This window comes from Homo sapiens, chromosome 3 (genome assembly GCF_000001405.40).
Source record: "Homo sapiens chromosome 3, GRCh38.p14 Primary Assembly".
Lineage (NCBI taxonomy): Eukaryota > Metazoa > Chordata > Mammalia > Primates > Hominidae > Homo > Homo sapiens.
Window position 1 is genome coordinate 88,396,126 of NC_000003.12, and position 24,877 is coordinate 88,421,002.

Consider the following 24,877-nt stretch of genomic DNA (forward strand, 5'->3'; position numbering starts at 1 on the left):
AGACGGAGTCTCGCTGTCGCCCAGGCTGGAGTGCAGTGGCGCAATCTCGGCTCACTGCAGGCTCCGCCCCCTGGGGTTCACGCCATTCTCCTGCCTCAGCCTCCCGAGTAGCTGGGACTACAGGCGCCCGCCACCTCGCCCGGCTAATTTTTTGTATTTTTAGTAGAGACGGGGTTTCACCGTGTTAGCCAGGATGGTCTCGATCTCCTGACCTCGTGATCCGCCCGCCTCGGCCTCCCAAAGTGCTGGGATTACAGGCGTGAGCCACCGCGCCCGGCCGACTACCTACTTCTTTAAGGGATATAATCAAGTAACTTGACCTTAGGAGGAGAGTACAGAAAGTTTTCCTGTGAAAATGCAAGGTGTTGAAGTCTGAAGCCGGAACAAGCATTGACTAGGTTAGCGAGGAGTGAAGCACATTCTATCCACAACAAGGAACATGAGAAACGACCTGTGGTGGGAGGAAACACAGTGAGGTTATGGTTCTGAGAGATGATCATGGTAGTTAGGAGAGAGCGAGGAGAAGCGCAATGTTAGATTTTGCAGGAGAGATACCTTAGTGGCTAGATAATGATCTTGAAGCCAAATCTCTATTCTAAATGGCTTTATGCAGGAGCATAAGATTATAATAGTTACATTTTAAAAAGATCAGTATGGCTGCCATGTGAAGAGTGGATTGGAGTAAAGCCATAGTTGAATTAGAGAGGACAGTTAAGCGGGTACAGCAATAGTCCAAAGTGGTGGCTTGAACTAGCATGGTGAATTGGAAATGGAAAGAATTGGATATATTCAGGAGGTAATTTAGAGAAAAAATACTAACAGAGTTAGTGATAGCTTGAATATGGCAGGTAAGGAAAAGGGAGGAGTTGAGGGATGGCGTCAGTGTGCCAAACGTATGACAGTGATATTTTTAAGAAAAACAAGAGGGCATGTGAAATAGATATATGATAAGTGTGCTTGGTGCTCAGTAAATAGGTCTGAGTAGAAGATAAACATTTACCGCCCAATAGGAAATAGCTGTCAGGTGAAATCTTAGGTGAAGATACAATGATTTTAGTGAGAATTACAGAAAGGGAGAAAGGGCCACTCTCAATTCTTGTTCTTCCTCTTTCTACTTCAAGTGTATTTCAGCTAGAAGTATGTCAAGACTATCCTGTGCATCTTGTCTTTTCCTCCTGAAGTTTCCAGTTTTGTCAGTTTTCTACTTTGATTTCTTATGTTTGTGCTACCTTTACAATAGTATACTTGAGATGCTGCACTTGTAACATTATTCATCTTTTATTAGTTTTGTCAAGTTCTATAAAATTACTATTATTAACAAGAATAATGATAGAGAATAATTTGTCACAATGCTGATAATCCCTCATGTAACACTACAAAATTGACAAATAACAGAGATTTATTGAACAAGCATCTGAGCAGTCATATTTACTTTGTAGTGTATCACTAGAAAGATATAAAATATGAAAGAGTTTGCCTTAATTTAATAGACTGAGGAAGAAAAATTGAAAATGAAATAGGGGTGATGTGTTATAGTATTTATATTCATAAAATATTAAAATTGTTTAGCATATATAATATTATTGTGCAAAATCAGCCTTTAAATTATTTATTGTTATTACTAGGATATCTCCTATCTCTTTTTTTTTTCAAAATAACATCACAGTTTGAGGCATTTTAAGTCCAAATAGTAAGTGTTTCATTTTACTAAAAGTGAACAGTAAGAAGTGTCCTGATAATACATAAATTGTTCATTCCCCTTCTAGGTGCCATCTACTATTTTATTTATTCATAAAGCAATCCTTAATCTGGGAGCTGAGCCAGTAAATTGATTTCATTTTCATTACTTATAGCAGCTTTTTGGATAGGAACCATTGTTCTAACTAAGTAAAATTGGGGAACTGTTTCCTGACAACCTACAGGAAAAAATATGATTTCCTATAATAAAACATTGAACTACGTCCAACTCAGAGAAATATGCTGAATTCATAAACAGAAAATTAAATGCCCTAATGTAGAATGAATATAGATGTTATGGCCACTGGAATTGTTCTTAAACTTGAGCTGCTATTACTTATGCAAAATGTCTATGGAAGATGAATGGCCCATTGTTGAACCCATTGAACAAAAAGCTTTGATTTCTAGCAGTGATTTTAATCAAGACTCATTATATGACTTAGAATAAGATACTTAAAAATTCCATGCTTCTGTTTTATCATGTGAACAAGAAAGAAAAATATACTTTCTCTCTGCCCTTGAACTCTTAAATTATAAAGAATATTAATGCTGAAGGACCCCACTAATATGAACGCAAAAACTTTGTAATTAACAAAAATCATTTAAATCCACACACCAGTTAGATAAATTAATCCTAAAATAAATTGGGTGCGTATATACTTAAAAATTCTTAAATGCTGTATATACCAAAGTATATGTTCCATCTTAACTAATGAAACTCTTTCCACTCTGCTGGGCTTATTTTTAGAAATAGAGAAAGGTCCCATCTTGACTGTGAAGAGAAAGCATAGATGTCAGATATGAAAGTCAGGAGGCTTTATTTAACAATTACAAGTTGAAAGCTATTCTGGCCATGAAGTCTTGAGATACTATAAAGACATCTTGATTTATCTTCAACAGGAGCCTTATATAGGGAGACAGATAATTCATTATTTGTAGCTGTTTTTCATTCTTACACTTTGATGGCAGGGAATATTTATGTCTTGCTCAGTGCTAAAATTTGTGTAGCTTTCACAGTCTCTTGCACATATTAATGCTCAATAGATATCTGAGGAAGAAACAATATTAAACAAAATATCCACTCACTTATTCATAAATGATTTTTTATAGAAATAGTAACTATCTTGGGTTTAAGGATACAAAGATGAATCAGATGCACATAAGGAGGTCTGTCAGAGAATAAAGACAAACAAAAAGATATAATTTTAATAAAATATTAACTTAATAGGACATGAACATTGATATAGGTGGTGTTTTTTAATGAGGCCATTTTTGAGGGATGCATTCCTCAACAATAGCATAAAGACTGAAAGCATTTTGGAATTCATTTGCAAATATTATGTTATTGTGAATTCTATTACGAAAGATTTTATTATTTCATTCTTAGAGCAAAATGGTTGTCTGAGGCTTTATTGTTAACATTTTGAATACAATTTATTGACTTAAACATTTAAAAAATACATCATCTACCTTCTAAAAAATATATATGTCACCAATATAAGAAATATTTAGAAGTGATTATCCAGGATCAGTTGAAAAGAACTAGGGTAGCCAAACGCCTCACTCACTCTGCTCCTGCATCCAAAGGTCAGACTCAAAAATACAGACCAATAAGAGTTTAACTTTTATGTCAATCTTTCATTCATCCTTACATTTATTCATTTGATAAATGTTTATTAAGTGCTTACTATATGCTGGTAAGGTGCTGGACATTGGGCAGGAAGTGATAAATAAAACTGATTCTTCCTGGCAGAAATATGGCAGGCACACAGGCCTGAGACTGGAGTACGGCTTCCTACTTCTTCCTCCGCAAACTAAAGACAGCGAGCCCCAGGGTGCTAATCCAACTGAGCTGCCACTCCAACTACAATTAGCGAAGCTGAACAAGAAAGGAGAGATGGAAAACCTGCCCCTAAATGAGGTTTCCTAACCTCATGTGTTTTCCAGTGAAGCGAATTACAAAGGCGAGTTCAGAAAGAAAAATGAACCGGGGAACCTGAATCTTGCCTTGAGGCATAGAACTGACCCAGATTAGTAAAATATGGCACAGAAATTACAGACAATGCACAATAGAATGAATACTTGAGGAATCAAAAAGCAAAAAGTATAAAACATTATCATATAATGAATATCACGTAATAGAAGCATCATAAAATGAAGCATATAATGAGTATGATATTTGAGAGTAGAAAAGTAACATCTGTCCTTGTTTAAAACAAATCGTAGATTACATATTAGTGGCAAGGTAAATAAATACTAGAGAAGTCTTGAGTGAGAAATCTATTCAAGATGGCATAATTAAGACTTCAGAGAAATGTTAGTTTCTGAGCCAGGCAGAGAAGGGCAAGTTATTTCATTCAGTATTTAACAAATATTTGCCAAGAATTGACTCCCTGCCAGTAATGAGACTGGTGGCCTTACTTCTAAAATGGAAGGTTGAGCTGAATGATCCTTTTTAGTTTGAGCCACCCACTACATAATCTAATGCTGCGGGAAATTTTGGTAGGTGGGAGGAACAGGAGAAAGGGGTGGTAGGCAGAATCATGGCCCGCAAAGGTTTCCATGTGCTAATTTCTCAAACCCATGAGTATATTATCATACATGGCAAAAGGAACTTTGCAGGTGTGATTACATTAAGAACCTTGAGATAAGATTATCATGGATTATCATAGTGGACCTAATCTAATTGTATAGGTCTTTAAAATTGGAGATCATTTTCTAGTGTGGTAAGAGACAGGGAGATATGACTACGGAAGAATGGTCAGCAAGCTGTAACATTGAAGGCTTTGACGATGACAGAATGGAACCACAAACTAGGAATTATAGGTGGCCCTTAGAAGCTGAAAAAGGAGCACAGCTCTAAATACACGTTGATTTTAGCCCAGTGAAACCTGTGTTAGACTTCTAGCCTACAAAAATGGAAGATAATAAATTTGTGTTATCCTAAGACACTAAATTTGTGGCACATTGTTATATAAGCAACAAGAAACTAATGTAAAAGTGTTCATATAAAGATAGTATGGTTCATGATGCAGAGGGAGAAAAGCATGGAACAATGTGATGAATAGAAGTTAAGGAATCAGTAAGAAATTTGACTGAGATGTAGGGTGTGTGTAGAAGAATAACAGAAGATGAATTAGTATAAATAGGTTGAGTTAGGTTATTTAGGTTAAGGCCTTGAAATACATGCAATTTTTTATGACAAAAAATGATATGAAGTTATCATATGTTATTGAGCAGTATATAATTTGTCTTCAAATATTAGGCAAAGCATTTAAGACTATTGTTCTTTGTTTTTTGAGCAGTCATTAAAACATAATTCACAAAAGTCAAATATAAGGCCTTATAAAATGAATAATAATATAGACTGCTTACTTAAAGAATTAATTCTGATAATTTCACAAGATCTTATGTCTTCTTTATAATTTTCAAAATAAGATTAACTCTGGGGAACTATCATTATTTAGATAAAATTATGACCATATGCATACATAACCTATGATTATTTGAATAGCAACAATAACAATGAAACAGAAGCCTGTTAGTTAATAGTCTTCAGTTCATGCAGCAAGTGTATGGTATCTTATAGAAATTTTCATTAAATTATAAAACAAAAACTTACCTTCTAGGGACTAACCTTAGAAGCTAAGATACCCCTTGCAGAAAATTTAATTCGGAACAAGTTGTGCTGCTACTACCATGGAAATATGAATGAGTAGATAAAGCAAGTCTTTTAGGAGAAAGATAGGTTTATTAGGATTATCAGGCTCTAAATGGAGAGTTAATAAAATCCTCAAATCCTGCTGCTCTATTAATGAAAAAGACTCACTTGCAAAATCTCAGTGGGAAGTTATAATCTTTGCCATGTCTTAAGTAGCTAACTAGTCCAACTTTGCAACTGAGTATATTTAAATGGGCTTTTCTTAAGAAGGAAAAAAGAAGAACACAGGGAAAAAAAGGATATGTGGGAGAGCAGGAGAGAATGAAGAAGCAAACAGAAGGATTTCCAAGGAAGCTAATATTTATGAAAGTGTAAATTAGCTTAAAAATCTGATTTATTAAGTGAGCTCTTTTTGAGTGTTTGGTTACTTTTGGCCATGAGAAAAATGGGATGGGGGAACTGTCTTTCCTTGCTTTTGAAAGAGGGGCAATCTGCTATGTCTTTTTTTTTTTTTTGCCATTCTTTTGGCAGCTTGTAGATATCATACATCATAACATTCCACATAGGTACAAAATGGGTTAAATGGAAATTTGGCAAGCTACATCACATTCATAACCCAGTAACTGACTGCTTGGAAGACATTTATTTGAAAATTTATTGTAACTTTGGCTTTTAAATAAAATCTAAACAATGTTATTTGATTTTATGTTCACCAAAACAATGAACATTTAGAAAATTCTGGCAGCACCATGTGCTTGTGAGAATATAGAATAAAGGGAACCCTTATATGTTGGTAGTGGTTGTATAAATTGATGCAAGTTTTGAGAGCAATTTGGCAATATCTACTTAAATTGACCAGGATCCAGCATTCTGATTCTAAGTGCTTCAGGATTTACTTCAGAAAAACTCTTGCATATGTGCACAAGAAAATATGCAGAACTATTCAATATTACATTGTTGTTTATGGTAAAAACCTAGAAACAACCTAAATGTCTATTACTAAAATTGGATATGTTTATATACAGCAGTCACAATGAATAAAGAAAATCAATACAAAAATGTTGAGAGAAAAAGGCAATCTCTTAAGAATTTATACAATATGTTACCTGTTATTTCAAATTTGGAAACATAAAATAATATATGCTATGTGTAGACACACACATATATATTTGCACGTAAAGAGTATACCATATATTTGTACATAAAGAGTATAAAAACAAGGATGGGAAGTGTGCAGTTCAACTTCAGAACAGTGATTATATCCAGAATGTAAGGGGGATGATTGCACGGAATAGAATCAATTAGGTTGCTCAAAAAGGACTTTGATCAAACCTTCATTTTTTGATGTCTTCTCACAATTATCTAAAGAAAATATATTAAAATGTTTATTAAATCTGAGTGGTGGGTACAAGGTGTTTGTGAGATTGCTTCTGCATATTTTCAAATTCAAACCAATTTAAAATTAAAGGGCCATCTTTAATTATTTAACCCTATGTCCTAATGATCTCATGCATAATCTATAGTGGTTTTAATTTGGCTTATTTTTTGTGGTTCTGTCAATCCTAGTTCAGTCTCAGAATCATATTTTTCACTTCAGACAATTTACCTATATTCTTACCTAGATTGTATGCTTATAGCACAGGAAGGCTTTCCAAGGCCATCATTTTGGTGATCCATTTGCAAAACTATTTCTCAAGTATTTAAAAATACCTATAAAACTAGGCTCTGCAATATTTTTATTAGGTTTTTTGTTCAAGATTAAATTAAATGCCCCCAAATATGATTCATTAAATACAAATTCTAGAAAAGTAAGGTCACCATTGAAAAATGTAACTTTATTCTAGACTGGCTAATTTGATTTATGGAGATAAATATGTTCCATTTCTGAGAAAAAGACCAGCTTGTCATTAGAGAATATCTTACTCATTGATACCAAGGGATTGTAATGGGGCAGCTTTGTTCTTTTATTTTCATCCTTGGTAGAGCAGCCTTGACCCCTTAGCTTGCTTCATTACCATCTTTCACAATAAATCATCAGCCCATCACAGACAGCCATTTAGAAAGCAATAATAACAATAGTTAACATTTAAAGAGCTTTTATTATTTGCAGCACTGTGATCAGCACTTTACATGCATTATCTTGTATGATTTTAGCAACCTATGATAAAGAAGCTGTTATTTACTTTTTCTAGGTTAAGGAGCTCAGGCTTAGAGGGATCAATGAAATTTCAAAGAATATAAGAACTGTAGGCAAATGATAGCATAATTCTAAATTGTTTTAAACGAAATTATTTCATTTGGAGTTTCGTTAATGTCCTAGTGAAAGAAGTCAATGCTTTGGCAAAGAAATCTGGAAATTGATACTTGCTGGTGAAAAGGGAGGGCTGCTGGGTATGACACAAGGGCTGAGACATACATGAAGTCTTCTAGCAGATGGAAGTAGATTCAATTCTTTTCTGATAATAGGGGGAGACAAGTTCCACATACTTGGTATATTTCTTTTCTTGGTTTGCATATAACTTGAGGGTCTCTTTGGAAGAAATGAATGTTTAAGTAGCTAGAAACAAGCAACAGCAATATCAGAAAAAAAAAAAGTTGAAGGAGGGATGGTTTAGAATGTGCACACCATGTGTAACAGATAGTTTTGGGGAAGAAGCCCATAGACAATTGTCCAGGAAAGGTGTGGGGCTGCTAGTAGACAGAGTCAACACAGAAACACAGTGAAATGTTGGGAAAGTCAGATAACTTAACACCAATGGAAATGCTGCAAAATTTTCCTGTGCCAACCCCGCAAAATAAAAGGATTTCAGATTAAAAGTGAATACATTTCAGAGACTGCGGTAATAAGAAAATCCTCAATATTCACAAGCAGCTTATATGGTTAATACAATATATATGTTACATGTTAGATCAGTGCTGTCCAAGAAAACTCTTCCTCTAGCCCAGGCCCAATTGGAATAAGTTTACATGAAAATAGTACTTTTTAATTTAAACTTTAATCTGTTTAACACCTCAGTCCTTCAACCTTCCCTCTTTAAGCCTCAGTCTTTCCTTTTCCTCTCCATTTACTCTTTGTTTCTCTCTTTCTAGAAACACGACTTTATAACCTATTATTATCCATACAACTCCATCATTCTGAGTTGTACTTCCTCTTGTGCTGTGTTAATACTTATTTGCCCCTAATTCTTAAGTTGATGTCTTTTTCTCTTCGAACTTTTGTTCTATTTCTTCCTTTGTCCAAACATCACCGCTCTCTGCCTTCATTTATTCCTTTAGATTGAAAAAAATTCTTTGTGTGACTAAAGTTTCTTAAAGCTTCTGAACCTTCTACCAGTCTATCTGTTTACTTCTTTCTAAAATCCAGTTTTAGCAAGAACCTTGCTAAGTCAGTTTAATAAGAACCCCCTGTTCCTGATATTTGGATCACCCTCAATATCTGATCAGGCTCTTCATCCTCCACCATTCTTTAGGTGACGTTTGATTGACCTAACCTACTTTCAACAAGAGTCCTGCTAGGTTGGTTTAGCTAGAATCCACCTTTACCTTGATGTTTCCTCTTAGTAATTTTCCATCCATGACCCCCACCCAGTTCTTTCACTATAAATTCCACTTGCCCATGCTGTATTTGGAGTCGAGTCCAATCTCTTTCCCGCAATGCAAAATCTCATTGCAGTGGTCTCTATACCTATCACCATGTTCCCCCAACTCTTTGAATAAAGTTGGTCTTATCATCTTTAATATGTCCTGAATAATTTTTTCTTTAACAGGATCTATGCTTTGCCCTTCACCCTGCTACTTATTCAGGGAGACTGATCTGTGTATCAAGAGGTTCTTTTAACCTCCGGTGAGCTTAGGCAGGATGTTTGCTACAGGAGATCAGAGGAAGGGGAAAAAGGTCATTGAGTTCATTCCCCTGCCTCCTTCCCTGTAGGATCACCTCATGTTAACTCTGCGTCTTGATCAAAAGTCAGAAAGCTTGTCAAAGTAGAGTTCTCTACAGAGCCCTCTCTTTGGCTTTCAGAAACCCTATTATCTTCTTTGGGTTAGGCCTAGGAATAATAATAGCTTAGTGATTTCTAGCCCTGGACTCTAGCAATATCTCTTGTGATTTCTTTATACCCTGCCCTACCTTGATAAGTAGTGCATTTATTAAACTCTCTTCCAATTATTTCAATTTGAGCATGTCGTATATTTCCTGTTGGAACCCTGACCAAAACAACCATTTTAAGGCACTTTTCCTTTATTTCACTTTTCCCTGATTTGTCCTAGGCCCCCACTTGCCTATTACGTGATTAGCACTCTGTTTCATTCTTTATTCCATTAGGGAGCTTGCAGAACAAAAATATTTTAGGATGAAAAGTCTAAGCATTCTAGTATCAACTTTGCCATGTACTAGCCTTGTGATTCTAAGTAAATCATTCATTTCCTCAGAACCTAAGTTTTTTTCATCTAAAAAAAAATGAGTGGAGCTATATTAGATAATCACTAAGATTATCTTCTGGTTTTAAGACTCTATAATTTCATAAAATAAAAAATATATAATCTTTTAACTAACCTCATTGGTCAACTCTAGCCTATGCTTTTGTATTATATATAAACAATTCAAATAGAAGAAAATAAACCTGAATGATTTCAAGATATAAAAATGCTAATTTTATATTAAAAACCAAAATAAATGGCTATCATGATTATGTTGCTTTGAAATTGAAATTGAAACAATAAAATTTTATCCAAAACTAGAAGCAAAATAAGAAAGTTAAGGGCAGGTAGTTACTTTCTTAATGCATAATGGTTATATGTACTTTGAACCTTTAGAATTCAATGAGTACAATTCAGTTATATTTTTAGGCATGGGCTACGGGAAGCGCAGTTGCTTTAAATGTTATCTATAAAAGCCTTAGCTGGCAGTTGAGCTTTTTCATTTCGTTTTTCTCTTATCTCTCTAGAAGTGAGGAGATAATTTTTAGAAATAAATAACATTCTAAAGCGGGGGAAGAAACACTCAACATTCAATGATCAGATCTTAGGGAATGCTTTGTTCCTATTTCAGCTAAAGGGTATAACACTGATTGAATGATTTTAAGTTGGGATTTTTGGCGACTGTTACATTGGACTTCATATTAAAATACCACAACATGATACTAGTGTTTCCAAATAAAATTGTGTATCTTTCTTTGGCTAGAAGGTGTTTTCTTTCAATGAAATGAAGCAAATGCACCTGTGTAGTTAAAATTCTTTATTTTTGTTGGTCTCTGGAAAGAAAAAAAATGTACGTAGTATTCAATATTTAAATTCCATTCTTGCGGCAGACCGATGTAGCCATACAATTGGCCACAGAATCCAGATTCTGCCATGGAATTTGCCCTGTGGATATCACGGTGTAGCCCCACTCTCATGTGGCCGACACGGAGGTGAGGGGGAGTATTCCATTTGCTTTGCTTTGGCTCTGGCTTAGGAAAATTGCCCAGGCAATTGCTTTTTGTAGCATGTAATGCTGTTAGTTCCTATCACACTGCTAACAGCCTCCCACCCTCAAGTAGACCACAAAGCAGAGAGAAGAAAGAAAACTTCTTCTTCTACTAACCATATTGGCTCAGTATCAATAGAAAACAGGAGCTTTTCAATCCTACCTCCTCAGACTCTTTGCGGATTTGGGGGCGCCAGAGTGGAATTACTTACTCTATCATGTACCAGGTATTACCTGGCATTGTGCAAATATTCTTTTCCTAATATATGTTTTAGAAAGAAATAAAATCTTCAGAAAAGTCCAAAAAAAAAAAAAAAAAAAAGGAGAGGGAGGGTCTGAATGCATATTCATGCATATCTTGTAACATTTAGTATGTTAAATGTGTGAATATGTTTTTATGTTTTTATGGATTGATACAAAACAATATTATGCTAGTAGATTCAAGCTAGCAAAATGAGGAGTGGACATCAAAATGTCAGCTTCTTGGCGGCATATGTAGCGCTGAAAATAACCTCTTTTCACTTTTGGAATCATAGTCACTGCATCTAATGGAGGTCAGTGTGTCATGCCTACCCTCCAGGCAAGTGGTGACAGGTGGCCATATAGGCTGAGAACACACATTTTACTTTTTTAAATGGCTTAGAGCTTCTTTCACAAGCAAAGCTTTATTTACTGTAAAGGTGACATTCTTTGGAAGAGATTGAAGAAAATAGTGTGCAATCTATTTATTTATTTATTTATTTATTTATTTGAAATGGAGTCTTGCTCAGCCACCCAGGGTGGAGTGCAGTGGCGCGATCTCGGCTCACTGCAACCTCCGCCTCCCAGGTTCAAGTAATTCTCCCATCTCAGCCTCCCGAGTAGCTGGGATTACAGACACCTGCCATGATGTCTGGCTAATTTTTGTATTTTTAATAGAGACGGGTTTCACCATGTTGGCCAGGCTGGTCTTGAACTCCTTAGCTCAGGTGATCCACCCACCTTGACCTCCCAAAGTGCTAGGATTACAGGCATAAGCCACTGTGCCTGGCTGCAATCAATTTATTTTTATATGTAATAAATTAATTTTAAAATATACAATAAAGCAGTATATTCAGTTGAACAGAAATAAATTAATTCACCAGTACTTAATTCACTTATTAAGGGCAAATTGCCCAGAGAAAAGAAATAGAAGTAAGACAGGAAGAAATGCTCAGTGTTCAATGTCATGTCTACTTAGGCAGTTTTCATAAAGGTGACAGAGTAAAGGAGATGAAGGCAATAGAGGCAATAAATGAGGTTTGTTTATTTTTATTGTTACCGCAAGTCTGACAACCCTCATTTAGTTTCTAATGGTTTGTTTTCCTGAACTCAAAAATGAAGTTCAGTCTCCTTGTCTATTAGACTAGCTGTTTTGTTGATAGACTTTTTGTTATGGAGATAATATTTATCTCTCAATACTTTGTGGGGTGGAACCAAAAAGGAGAGTAGAGATGTTTCTATTAAAGTAGCTGATTAACCTTAGTATAATAAAAAAGAAAACTTGAAGTAGGCTTGACAATTCAGAATAAAGCCAGTGCCTGACCAGGCTCTCAAAACTGTTACTAACAGAAAGTAAAGCATTCCATTTACTTTATTAACATAAAGTACTCTATTAACTGTCCCATATAGCGTGGAGCAGTATAAATTCCCATCTTTCTAAATGTATATGTTCAAGATTGCCCATTGAAAGGGGGGCCACTGTGATCTGGGAGCTGCTTCTATGCCATACTGAAAACCTCTATTCCATTATTAAATGGCACCACACTGTGCATCTCAAGGATTTGAGTACCTAACAAGTTAACTGGGGGATTCCCTTTTGTTTTAATGTTTTTTTTTTGGTGATTTCATGATCCAAACCAGTTTTAACAAATACACACATTTATCATAACTTTAGACTCCTTGAAATTTAATCAAAATAAGTCAGCCACGACCACTATTGCCAACTGAGACCATTGAAAAGGGGCCCAGGAATAGTGTAATTAGTTGCTATTACGTGGCTGCAAGCCTGCAATTTTCCTACTGACTCTGACCCACAGCATTGCTTAAGTAAGTATTTGCACGAAAACTAGTGATAATTGATCCCCTTCGGTGTCAAGTGTCTTCATAATTTTAAAAATTAAAGATGCAGAGTGTCTCAAGTGGTTTGTGTAGGCAATTTGATTCCAATTTTATTATCACAATGGGTCTATAATATGCATGAAGTGTCCTTTCTGATTAGCCATGCCTCAGCAGTTACTTTCTATTTCCGTTTTTGCTTCTCTTTCCCTACTTCTGTTCTGTCCTCTGTTCTGTCTTCTGTCCTATTCCAAGCTTCCTCACATTTTCTGAGAAAATGGAAGAGGCTGCTTGCAGAATTTACCTAGCTATTCAAATTAGCTGCCCAGAATCAGGATGGGCTAAGCCATGATAGCATTCCCTGTTAAACCAGCTGCCTCTGTTACATGCGAAAATGATTTCTTTCTTCAAAGTTTGGGGGGAAAATGTCTAGGTGATCAGGTACAGAAGAAAATTTTGCTGTAAATAGAATATTTTTTCTTAATTCTCTGAGAATCAAATTATAGAGAGTGAGGCAAATAGAAAAAAATAGTTTATTTAACAGAATGTATAGGGACAAAAAATATTCTTAGGACAAATTATAGCACACATGCACAGTACTATTTGTGAGTTGGATATGATTTAAGAAGCAAGTTATTTAGTCACAAGATCATTTTGTTTATTTTGTTTTCTTCAGATTCTTTTCTATTTCTATTTTTGCTCCGTCTCCTAGTAAAGTCAGTGATATTGTCTTTAATTTTCTATCAGGATATATATGATTTATTTTATTGGTGACTTGTAAAATGAAACAATAAAAACTCAAATTATGCTTTACTACAGGAACAGTTATGAAAGCAATGATAGTATTTAACTTCCGTAACAAATGCATCAGGGTGACATATTTTTAACTACTCTAAGGCCATTGTCTGTGCCTGAATTAGGATCATTGTGTGTTACAAGAGACCTTTCACCCAACAGTAGCTGAGAAATCCTAGCTGGACTAAATCAATACATCAGAAAACTCTGAAGTCTTCAATAGAAAGATTCCAAATTTTGTTACAAAATGACTAAAAACATATGGGGGTTTCATTTTATTTTACAGGAAAATGTGGCTCACTGAGCTCAAAAAGAAGGCTCTGTGCATGAAATCATGAAAACTACATGGGGCGATAACTTTAATCAAATCCCAAAGCTTAGAATATCCTGAAGATGACCCACCTCCACATATTTCCAAAATTGGGAGAGCTTTTTTTATAGAGTGATTTATTTCTATAGCTATTCATAGAAAGAGTCTGTTCCTTAAGGTATGTGACAACCTGCATTCATGCTTGAGATCACTGGGACTCATATGTTTATAAAGATCTCTGAAACTTCTGGCTTCTTTTTCTCATTTGTTGCCGTGTGAACCACTCATCCACTCCGGAAGCTCTCCTGCCACGGAAGTCTTTTAAAGCAGCTTATCTTTTGTGGTCATCTGATTGACAATGGTTCAACAAATCTTCAAAATGATTGTTTATAAGATTATAGACTTTGGTTATTATCTTTAAAACTTGTCTTTTCAGGTTAAATATAAATAATCTCCTAAAGTTTAGTCATCTTTTTCTTATTCTAGTTTCTATTCTCATTATTGTAACATGAAATCCAATATGAATTTAACGATTGTTAAATGGTGCCATTTGATTACTTCCTTGCTCTAATGACAAGAAATCAACTTCACAGTGAGTTCTTATCACAGTGGTGGTTTATTGTATGAATTCTGATGATAAAAACTTGATGTTGGGTATCCAAAATTACTCTTTAAAGTAAAGACTTTTGTTATATATATAGAGAGCGGAAGCAAAACAAACACCAATTGAATACAATGTTAATGTTGTCACCAAAATATAAAGTGATTTCTCATTTTAACTGCTGATTGAGTAAGAAATATTTGGTATTTAAAATTACAAATGTTTGTGTTGTAGTGTGGGATAATTAGCTTTTTACCTTTAAATTAAGTATGCACTGTAAATTTCCTTATAAATACAGTTGAATTTTATATTAGTCATTGTAAAGTGAATATGAAAATAACTTTATCTTGATTAGAATAACATTTTCTTCTTTATTAACACTAATGAGAACATCAAAGAATGTGATTAAATTAAAATGCATTTTCAAGGTATAGTTGTTTGTGGGCATAGAACAAATCTGTTTTCTTCTAATTTTGAAGCAATGGAGGCCATCTTGTTTCTTCCTAATTGAGACATTCTACAGTGTCTACAAGTGACATAAAATTTACCATAAATTTAGCTCACTCACTCTATCTATCATCTATCTATCTATCTATCTATCTATCTGTCTATCTATCTATCTATCTATCTATCCATCCATCCATCTAACTGACCTGTCTCTGCCTCATCTACCTACATAATGAATAAGATCTTATAAGCTTGGATTATAAGTTTATTGCATTAAATATATGGTAGTATTTTAAAGATTCTCACCTAATTGAATCTCTGCTCAGCCACTAAATCAGCAACTAAACAGATACGGATTTTGTAGAAAAAAGTTATTTAATTCATTTAAGTTTAATTTTAAAGCTGATAATTCAGTTTGTGAAAAATTTTTAAGTTTGTTTGAAACAACTTAGATATGGGTATCTACTTTTTCAGTGGTACATTTATTAAATCTAAATATATGCTAAATACTGCTGATGAAAATTTAGTGTCTGAATTGAGATGTTTTGTGAGAAATACATTACAGATTTCAAATATTATAAACATGTGAAATATCTAATTAATATTTTATTTTATATTATTAAATATATTTCAACATATAATAAGAAAATATTTTAGAAAGGTCAGCTTGAATAAAAATGTCATTAAAATCAATTTCACCTGTTTCTCTTTACTTTTTAAAATGTGCTGACTAGAAAGTTTGAACTTACTTATGTGGCTTGCATTGTATTTCTATTTGACAACACTGTTAGAAGAATACCCCAAGAGAAAGGGTAATATAATATGCCCTACATATAAAAATAAATTTGAAATGAATTAGGAGAGTTTGGTGTGAAAAATAAGTCATAAACAACTATGATAGGTACTCACTTTATTTTTGAAGGGGTAATAGTTTTATCAGTACTAGGGAAAAGGAATAAATATAATATATTTATAGCTTTGACTATATAAAATTACTGACTTTGTGGGTTTCTATGTGTATATTTTAAGAATCCATCATGAGTAAAATTAAAAAGCAGCAGTTCACAATGTTTCCACAGCAGCTCCTCTTGCCTTCCATGGAGGGGAAAGGCCTTCTACTAAATTCTCTGCAGTGGATAGCATTGGGATCATTCTTCTGGACCTTTATTTCTTCCCTGGACAAGGAGAGGCTCATCCCATTCTTGTGACTGTATCAAACCTGATCTCTCTCTCCTTGGCAGAGTACATTGCTTTTCTTCATTCCTGTTTTGTAATAAGTTTCAGTTATTGGGAGTGATTTAAGTATGCTTGGGTACTCACATGTACTTTTTAAACTACACATTTGTGAAATTTTTGTGGTTAGTGGGAATAGGAGCACAGTCTTGTGCCACTAGACAAAATGTGATAGAGATACATTTTGAGAAATGTGTAGTTAGGAGCTTTCATTGTCAGGAGCACTTCGTTGAGTGTACTAACACACACCTAGATGGCAGAGCACATTACATACCTAGAGCATAAGGTGTAGCCTATTACTCCTAGGCTACAAATCTGTACAGCATGTTACTGTTTTTAATAGTGTAAGGAGATAGTACCACACCGGTATTTCTGTATCTAAATATAGAAAAGATACAGTAAAAATACAGAATTATAATTTTTTGGAACCACAGTTATATATGCAGTCCATTGTTGCCTAAAATGTTATGCAGCACGTGGCTATATATGAATTGTCATTTTTCAGCCACACACATGATATGGTGCAAGGGTTAATGGTAAGTTTTAATGGATAGAAGTAGGTATCCCTATTTTGGCTTTCAGAAGCTAAATTTTTTATTGCTAAGTTTTTTATTTTTTCCAGTGAAAGTTGAATTAGTATATTAATGCCATCTGCCTCCTGTGACTTTGATTTAATTTTTAATTCAGTAGGCATAAACTCATGATATAATGCATTGGGAAATATGCCTACTCACCTATGTTGTGTTCTTGTCAGGTATGTTTGACCTGAATCTAATGTTGAAAAAACATCAGATATATCTGGAAAGCAGGATGGTGTATAGGCTGATTAACCTGGACCCTTAGAGGAGTCAGTATCAAGAAAGACCTAGGAGAAGGTGTAACTCTTATACACTAAGAGAACTAAAGATTCAAATGCTATACATAATTGAATCTTGAATCTTGAAAAAACATTTTGAGGATGATTGGGAGAATTTGTATATGAACTGTGTATTAAATAATACTATGATTGTTAATATTCTTGGGTGTGGTAATGATGTGGTTTCATTGGAAATAATATTTTCCTTCTTGGGAGATGCATGCTGAAGTATTTAGGAGTGACATATACTTTTAGAAGTACATTCACGCCTACTTTTGGAAGGTTTGACAAAAGTTGAGTATGTGTGTGTGTATGTGTGTGTGTGCATGCTTACATATGTAGATAGGCAATAGGTATTGCAGAGCTGTTAACAAATCATATAGGTTTTTCTGTACTGCCCTTTCAGACTTTCAGTGTTTTTAATATTTTTCAAAATAAAAAAACATGCATAGGTATTTTTATGTATATGTGGCATGGGGATGAGAAGTGTGATTAATTAATAATGCAAAACCCCAACATATAAGTGACAAATACTTGCAACCTACATGAAAAATGGTTAATCAAACCAGTTTGTTAGAAAATCTTAAGAGCAATAAGAAAAAGATAATTTCCTTAATAGAAGAATAGCCAAATAACATGAGTAGGTTATCAAGAAAGAATAAAGACAAATTAAGTAAATAAAGATATTAAAATATTTAACACTGATAATCACAGGCAGGAACTTATATACAATGCCAAGGTAGAAATTTGCATTTTCTTTAGTACAATATTTTACAATTATAAATAATATTACAGTCTAGGGAAACAGACTATCTCTTAAACTGCTGATAAAAGTACAATACTTTACAAACGTTATTTGTAAATTTGTAACAAGTAACATATATATGTATATATATATATATAAATTTGTATTAACATATCCTAAGGAAACCTAAAATATCAGCAAAATTGTACCAACAAAGTTTTTTTTTTTTTTTTTTTTTTTTTTTTTTTGAGATGGAGTCTCACTCTGTTGCCAGGCTGGAGTGAAAAGCCTTGACCTCTGCTCACTGTAACCTCCGCCTCCTGGGTTCAAGCGATACTCCTGCCTCAGCCTCCTGAGTAGCTGGGACTACAGGCGTGCCCCAACACGCCCAGCTAATTTTAGTAATTTTAGTAGAGACAGGGTTTCACCATGTTGGCCAGGCTGCTCTCGATCTCCTGACCTCATGATCCACCTGCCTTTGCCTCCCAAAGTGCTAGGGTTACAGGCATGAGCCACAGCACCTAGGCCAACAAAGATTTTTTAACAGGATTTTTAAAAAGGCAGAACATTATAGATTCCAGGATATGTTTCCTCATATTTAGAGTATACAATTTTTAAAATGTTTACATCTTGGTGGGGTGGTGTTGCAAGTACTAAATAATGACAGAATGACTGCAAAATTAATAGGATTAAATGAGATGATGAATGCATAGTAGACAGTACAGTATATTAATCAAATCGAAATGACTAACATAGACTCCAGTGGGGATTAGGACTGTACAGTATGTTAGTTAAATAGGAAAGACGAGCATAGAGTCTAATGTGGATTAGGTAAATAAATTATATGCTATTCAACAGAAAACTATGAATTTATTAAAAGCCATGTGCTCAAAGATTTCTAACTGGTATTTTAAAATAAAATGTCAGGTTACCAAAAACTTTAGTATGACAGTAATGTAAAAAAAACCCACACACACACACACACACAAATATTTAAATTTACATTCATGTAAGAGCATAAAAAGCCACATAGCAAAACAGTAATAGCAGTTCTTCAGAGGGTGGAATCATAAACAATGTTAATGTTCTTTTTTCTTTTTCTCCCTAAATTCCTCACGAGTATTTCATTTATTGACTTAAAACCCCCAAACTCAAATCAAAAATAACCAAAATTTTGCAAGTAACATTATTCTCTGAAAATAGAATATGATTTTTATTTCCCAATGCAGAGTATTAAGGGAAAATTTATAATGAAGATAAATTCAAGGCACTGATATAGCAGGACTTTAGAATTATTTGAGGGTGTCTTCCTATTCAGAAGAAGCAATCTGCAGGGTTAAAACAATGAGGATGGTATCACATTATAGAAATAGACTGGTGTAGCGGAATCAGATAGGCTTAGGTAGAAACTGATTTTGACGTTCTTCATGGTATGATTTAAGTTTTTAATCTTTTGAAATTTCCATTTTCCCACCCATTTTTGTACTGAGAATAATAACACCTAAATAAGGGTACTATGATTGTTAAATGAAACTATAAGAGTGGGGAGGGGGCGGGAAAGAGAGAGAAGCCCCTATCTGCTGTGCCAAACTTTAAATTATTCAGTTTACATACATGATCTCATTTAATCCTCACATACCAATGAGGTGTTCTGGGTATAATTCCTTGCAAAGTCCATCTAACTTCAAGAACCACAGTGGTGCACAGAGCCTCCTTTACAAGCCCTAAAGCCAGATTCTGGAGGTGTAATGTTTTCTTTGTCCCTGCAACCTGAAGAGAATCATTTTGGCAGTGTGACCTCTGAGAGTATAACATTTCTCCATTAGACCTTAAGTTCTATTGAGATGTCCTAAAGTGAATCTTTGTCAAAATTCAGAAACAAAGAAGCCAAAGTTAGCCTCTTTGTTCTCTAGAAGGCTTAAATGAAAAAGGGTGGGCCAGGTGCAGTGGCTCACACCTGTAATCCCAGCACTTTGGGAGGCCGAGGCAGGAGGATGACTTGAGGTCAGGAGATGGAGACCATCCTGGCCAACATGGTGAAATCCCGTCTCTACTAAAAATAGAAAAATTAGCCTGGTGTGGTGGCACGCGCCTGTAGTCCTAGCTACTCAGGAGGCTGAGGCAGGAGAAAAGCTTGAACCTGGGAGATGGAGAGGTTGCAGTGAGCCGAGATCGGCCACTGCACTCCAGCCTGGGTGACAGAGTGAGACTCCCTATTAAAAAAAAAAAAAAAAAGAAAAGGAAAAGGGTGATAGAAGTTTCAGTCAGCCAGAGGAATAGAAATCAAGGGGATTCACAAAAATGCCACTTGCCTTTGCTTTTTGTTTATAGATTTTGCATCTTTTTACAGAGTCAAGATGTTCCCTACAGATTCATAGGCCTGAGTTTAGCACATAGCTGAGATAAGGAGACCCAACAGCATTTTGAACCTTCAGATAAACAGATCAGATGACATTAAAATTAAGAGGCAGTGAGAGATCAGTAATGCATTGTTATAGCTTTGAGGCTGAATGGAAATTATTCTACTTCTACAAAGTCTTCGCTCCTGAAACACTTGCTATACCATACCACGGAATCATAGACATTTATCACCCTTAATACATCCACTCATTGTCAGAAGCTTCTGAGCATAGATGGAATGATGCTCAGTTCAAGACAACATATCTATAAATCCTACCCCATTAATTTACTTTCTTTTCAAGAAATATTCCTGAAATTCAAGCTGCTTGACCAAAGAGCTGAGATTTTATCATTTGAAATAAAAGCACCTTTATGTCTATTTGTTTAGTTTTCAAATTAGATAGTATTTCTTTTTCTTTTAATTGCACGTGCTAACAATTTTTAGTGGATAAGCTCATATGCAATATTATGGCATGAAAATAATTTACAGCACTATGAGTGTCTCTCTGAATTATCCCCAATTCACTGCATTATTAAATATTATATATATTATTCAATATATTTTTATCAAATAAATATTTTTCTTGCAAATGAGATCAAAACTACTTAGCATTATATAAGATTACTAGACACTGATGAGATAACATGAATTTTTTTTTTTTACTAAAATGTCCTGCTTTTAGTTTATATACTGCGTTGATAGACACACAGGGGAAAATGTGATGAGAGAAAAATGGGAAGGCAATTTAGTTTATTTACACAATATCCACATTTGTTAGTATTTAATGTTTATTATTTATTCATCCTTTTTTTTACTGCCTCTGTGCCTTGAGATAAAGATTTGAGCATGTGCTTTCCTCATGTTTATCTGGATCCAACAGAAGGTCGCCTGGGAGCTGGAAGGGCAGGCATTTTAAAACCCAAATATTTAATTACCTCTCCTGGCCTGGTTGAGGAGGCATCCCGTAGTTTACAGGGGCAAGGGTGCTTGTGTTTGGGCTAGTGGTTCAGTGTGTCTGGAGAATGAATGTTTGACACTCCCTTCATGGATTGTGAAGCAGGCTGAGAACTAATCAGTTTTCTGTAACCTACTGTTTTGTAGCTTTATTATTTTCAAAGATGGTGAGTTCCCAGGTTGGACCCACTAAGAACCAACTATGAGTATGACAGGCAATCTAAACAAGGTGGCCCACATTTTTTAGTAAGACCTGATTGCTCATTTTGTTTTATATTGATTGCAAATTTGCTTCTATTTACTGTCAACTGTAGGTCCTGGTTCTTCTTCCTGAAGCAACATAAATCAGCTCTTTCTTTTTTCTACACTGTAGCTCTCCTGCCTATTTGATATTTTCTATGATCCATAGAGGTTAATGTTAGACTATGTGATATTTTGACTTGAATTGCCTGTGACAATTCTGTATGTACATATGTGTATTAGAATATAAACCATAAAATCATTTCTGGTAGAGCAAGATCTAGCTAGTTAACTGTACTTGGGACCTAAAAGAAATCTGCTTTGAAAAATATTTTAAAATGTATATTAATCACAGCATCTTTATGATACTGTATATGATTTGAGTAATGGTAAAAATGTGATTATGTCTGAACATTATGAGGAATTGGGACTGTAGTAAATTTTATAGTTGTACGTATAAGAAAATCCATCGAACAAACTCAATAATAAAAGGTATCTTTAGGGTATTAGATTCCTTATGGAATCAGAATTTATTGGTAATTTCATTGGAATGTTTGAGAGGGTATATGTCACTGAGGTGGGGAGAGGTATTTTGATGAAAGCCAGTGGAATACTCATAAAAGTTTTCTTTTTTTAAAAAAAGAAAAAGATCGTGGTGCAGTGAACATATTGCATGCCTGTCGGCATCTTATTCTAAAGCACTCTCCACACAAGAGTAATTTTAATAATTAGGACTGTCTTTATGCTACTGCTGACAACTTCCAAATGTCTACAGGGAACTGAATGTCAGTGTGTGTGTGTGTGTGTGTGTGTGTGCGCGCGGGCGTGTGTTCTCTCTTGTGGGTGTGACTTTCTCCTCTATTCTTCAGCAGCATTTAGCCTGGCATAAAATCATATTTTACTACTTACAATTAGCCTTAGCCATTGACAGGAGGTAAGGGGAAAGAAAAGTAAAACCCTTTCATTAAAAAAAATTTATTTTTATTTATACATTTAGTTTTTTCTTTCCAACTTTTATATTTGGTTGAGAGGGTACATGTGCAGGTTTGTCATATAGATAAATTGCATGTTGTGGGTTTTGGTGTATAGATTATTTCATCATCCAGTTAATGAACATATTTACCTGATAGGTCAAGGGTCCCCAACACCTAGGCCACTGTCTGGTACTGGTCTGTGGCCTGTTAGGAGCTGGGCCACACAGCAGGAGGTGAGCCACAGGCAAGAGAGCCATCTGTATTTACAGTTTTTCACATCATGGCTCACGTTACCACCTGAGCTCTGCCTGCCGTCAGATCAGCAGTGGCTTTAGATTCTACTAGCAGTGCCCTATTGTGAACTGTGCATGTAGGGGATCTAGGTTGTGTGGTTCTTTATGAGAATCTAATACCTGATGATCTGTCACTGTCTCCCATCACCCCCAGATGGGACTGTCTAGTTTCAGGAAAACAAGCTCAGGGCTCCCATGAGTCTACAATAAGGTGAGTTGTATAATTATTTCATTATATATTACAATGTAATAATAATAGACATAAAGTGCACAATAAATGTAATGTGCTTGAATCATCCTGAAACTATTCTCCCACCCCCTGGTCTGTGGAAAAATTGTCTTCTACAAAACTTGTCCCTGGTGCCAAAAGGGCACCTTTATTCCCTTTTTTGTGTCCATGTGTACTCAATGTTTAGCTCCCACTTATGAGAACATGCAATATTTGATTTTCTGTTCCTGCATTAATTTACTCAGGAGTATGGCCTCCAGCTCCATTCATGCTGCTGCAAAGGACATGATTTCATTATTTTTTATGGATGTGTAGTATTCCATGGTATATTTGTACCATATTTTCTTTATCCAGTTCACCATTGATGGGCATCTAGGTTAATTCCATGTCTTTGCTATTGTGAATCATGCTGTGATGAACATACACGTGCATGTTTCTTTACGGCAGAATGGTTTATATTTCTTTGGATATATACTCAGTAATGGGATTGCTGGGTTGACTGGTAGTTCTGTTTCAAGTTCTTTGAGAAAAGGAAGTAAAATTTTAAGAGTAATGTTATTTGAGATTAGGCATTTGGTTCATTATTATTGTCACTTTCTGCTTTGAAATTTGTTCTCTTGAATACGAAGATTTAATGACAAAGAGAATCCCAATTATAAATTTATAAATCCTAATTATAAAACAAACATTATAAAAAACCGTTTGCTTTAAGTGTCAAGCCAGTCCTTTGAAAGTCTTGTTTGATATTTCCTTTAGAGAAGGATATTCTTAGATCCAGAAGGCTCTAAGGGAGTTACGAAGAATCAGCAAAGAGGAAAAAAACCAATACATTCACACTCCTATTCCCACCACATAGAATCACCTGGGAAGATATTGCAACAAAATGATAATGCCCAGGCCCCTACCAGAGAAATTATGATTTTATTGGTCTGAGATAGGGCTTGGATATTGGTATTTTTCAATATCTCTCCAGGTGATTCCAGTGTGTAGCTAAGGATCGGAATAGCTGGTCTACTCTAGAACAGCATAAATGTAAATCTTATACTTGGCAGGCTTAGCACTTGAATTAGGAACTATCATAGAGGTATGTCTCACTGTTTCTAACTAGTTGTGGTGCTCTGTCAGTTCCAAGAAAAATATTATTGTTGGCTACTAAATGGTTAGCTTAATACTATACCCATTTATCTTGCATCTGGCTAGTACTTGCCAGTAAGACTGAATGGCAAATCTGTCTTCCCTATGTTAGTACTTTGTTGTCATGTGAAATGAGATTAATATCCCATCTTTGCACAAAAGTTAAAGCATGGGGGATCTCTTGAGAAAGACTTTTTAAATGAGATTTATAAAATCTTATGTGTTTTCTGATTATAATATGTATAATAAGCTATATTTTTGTTTATTATAAAATAAATTAAGATTAACATTTATATGATTCTACAACATAAAAATGTTTAATCGGCAGTAGATTCATTCATGAGGAAGACAAGATAATTTAGAAGGTGAGTAAAATGTAAATTCTGGAAAAGCAAGTTCAATCAACATTCAAATTATATTCAGGGCTCAGACTAAGGGTTATGTCTTTGGGAATGTATGTTATTTGGTTTATGACATATAAGTATACGACAGCTAGGAAAAAAGGATTAAGAAGAATGCAATATGACTATGTAGAGGCCGATGAATCATGCTGGTTTGGTCCAATCAGAAATGATATTGGGTTCATTTACATAGGATCTAACTCATGTAATGGGAGTTGGGGAAACTATAACAGTCTGAGATATAGATTGAAATATTTAATAAAATTATTATTTAAATTTCCAACTTTAAACACTAAGAGATACATTTACAGAGAATATATGCA

The 24,877-nt window shown here is 34.8% G+C and overlaps 1 protein-coding gene across 4 annotated transcripts in view; it reads left to right on the plus strand.

The window, feature by feature from the left end:
* The window catches only part of CSNK2A2IP (casein kinase 2 subunit alpha' interacting protein), a 129,139-nt gene that overhangs the window by 57,670 nt on the left and 46,592 nt on the right, over window positions 1-24,877 (plus strand). The window contains exon 2 of one of the 4 annotated variants that reach the window (NM_001368168.1): window positions 3,491-3,701. The exons of 2 other annotated variants lie outside the window; for them this stretch is intronic. The gene's annotated coding sequence lies outside the window, so the exon portion shown is untranslated. The remainder of the gene's footprint in view (window positions 1-3,490; window positions 3,702-24,877) is intronic. One more of the 4 variants, NM_001368166.1, reaches the window with a different exon arrangement.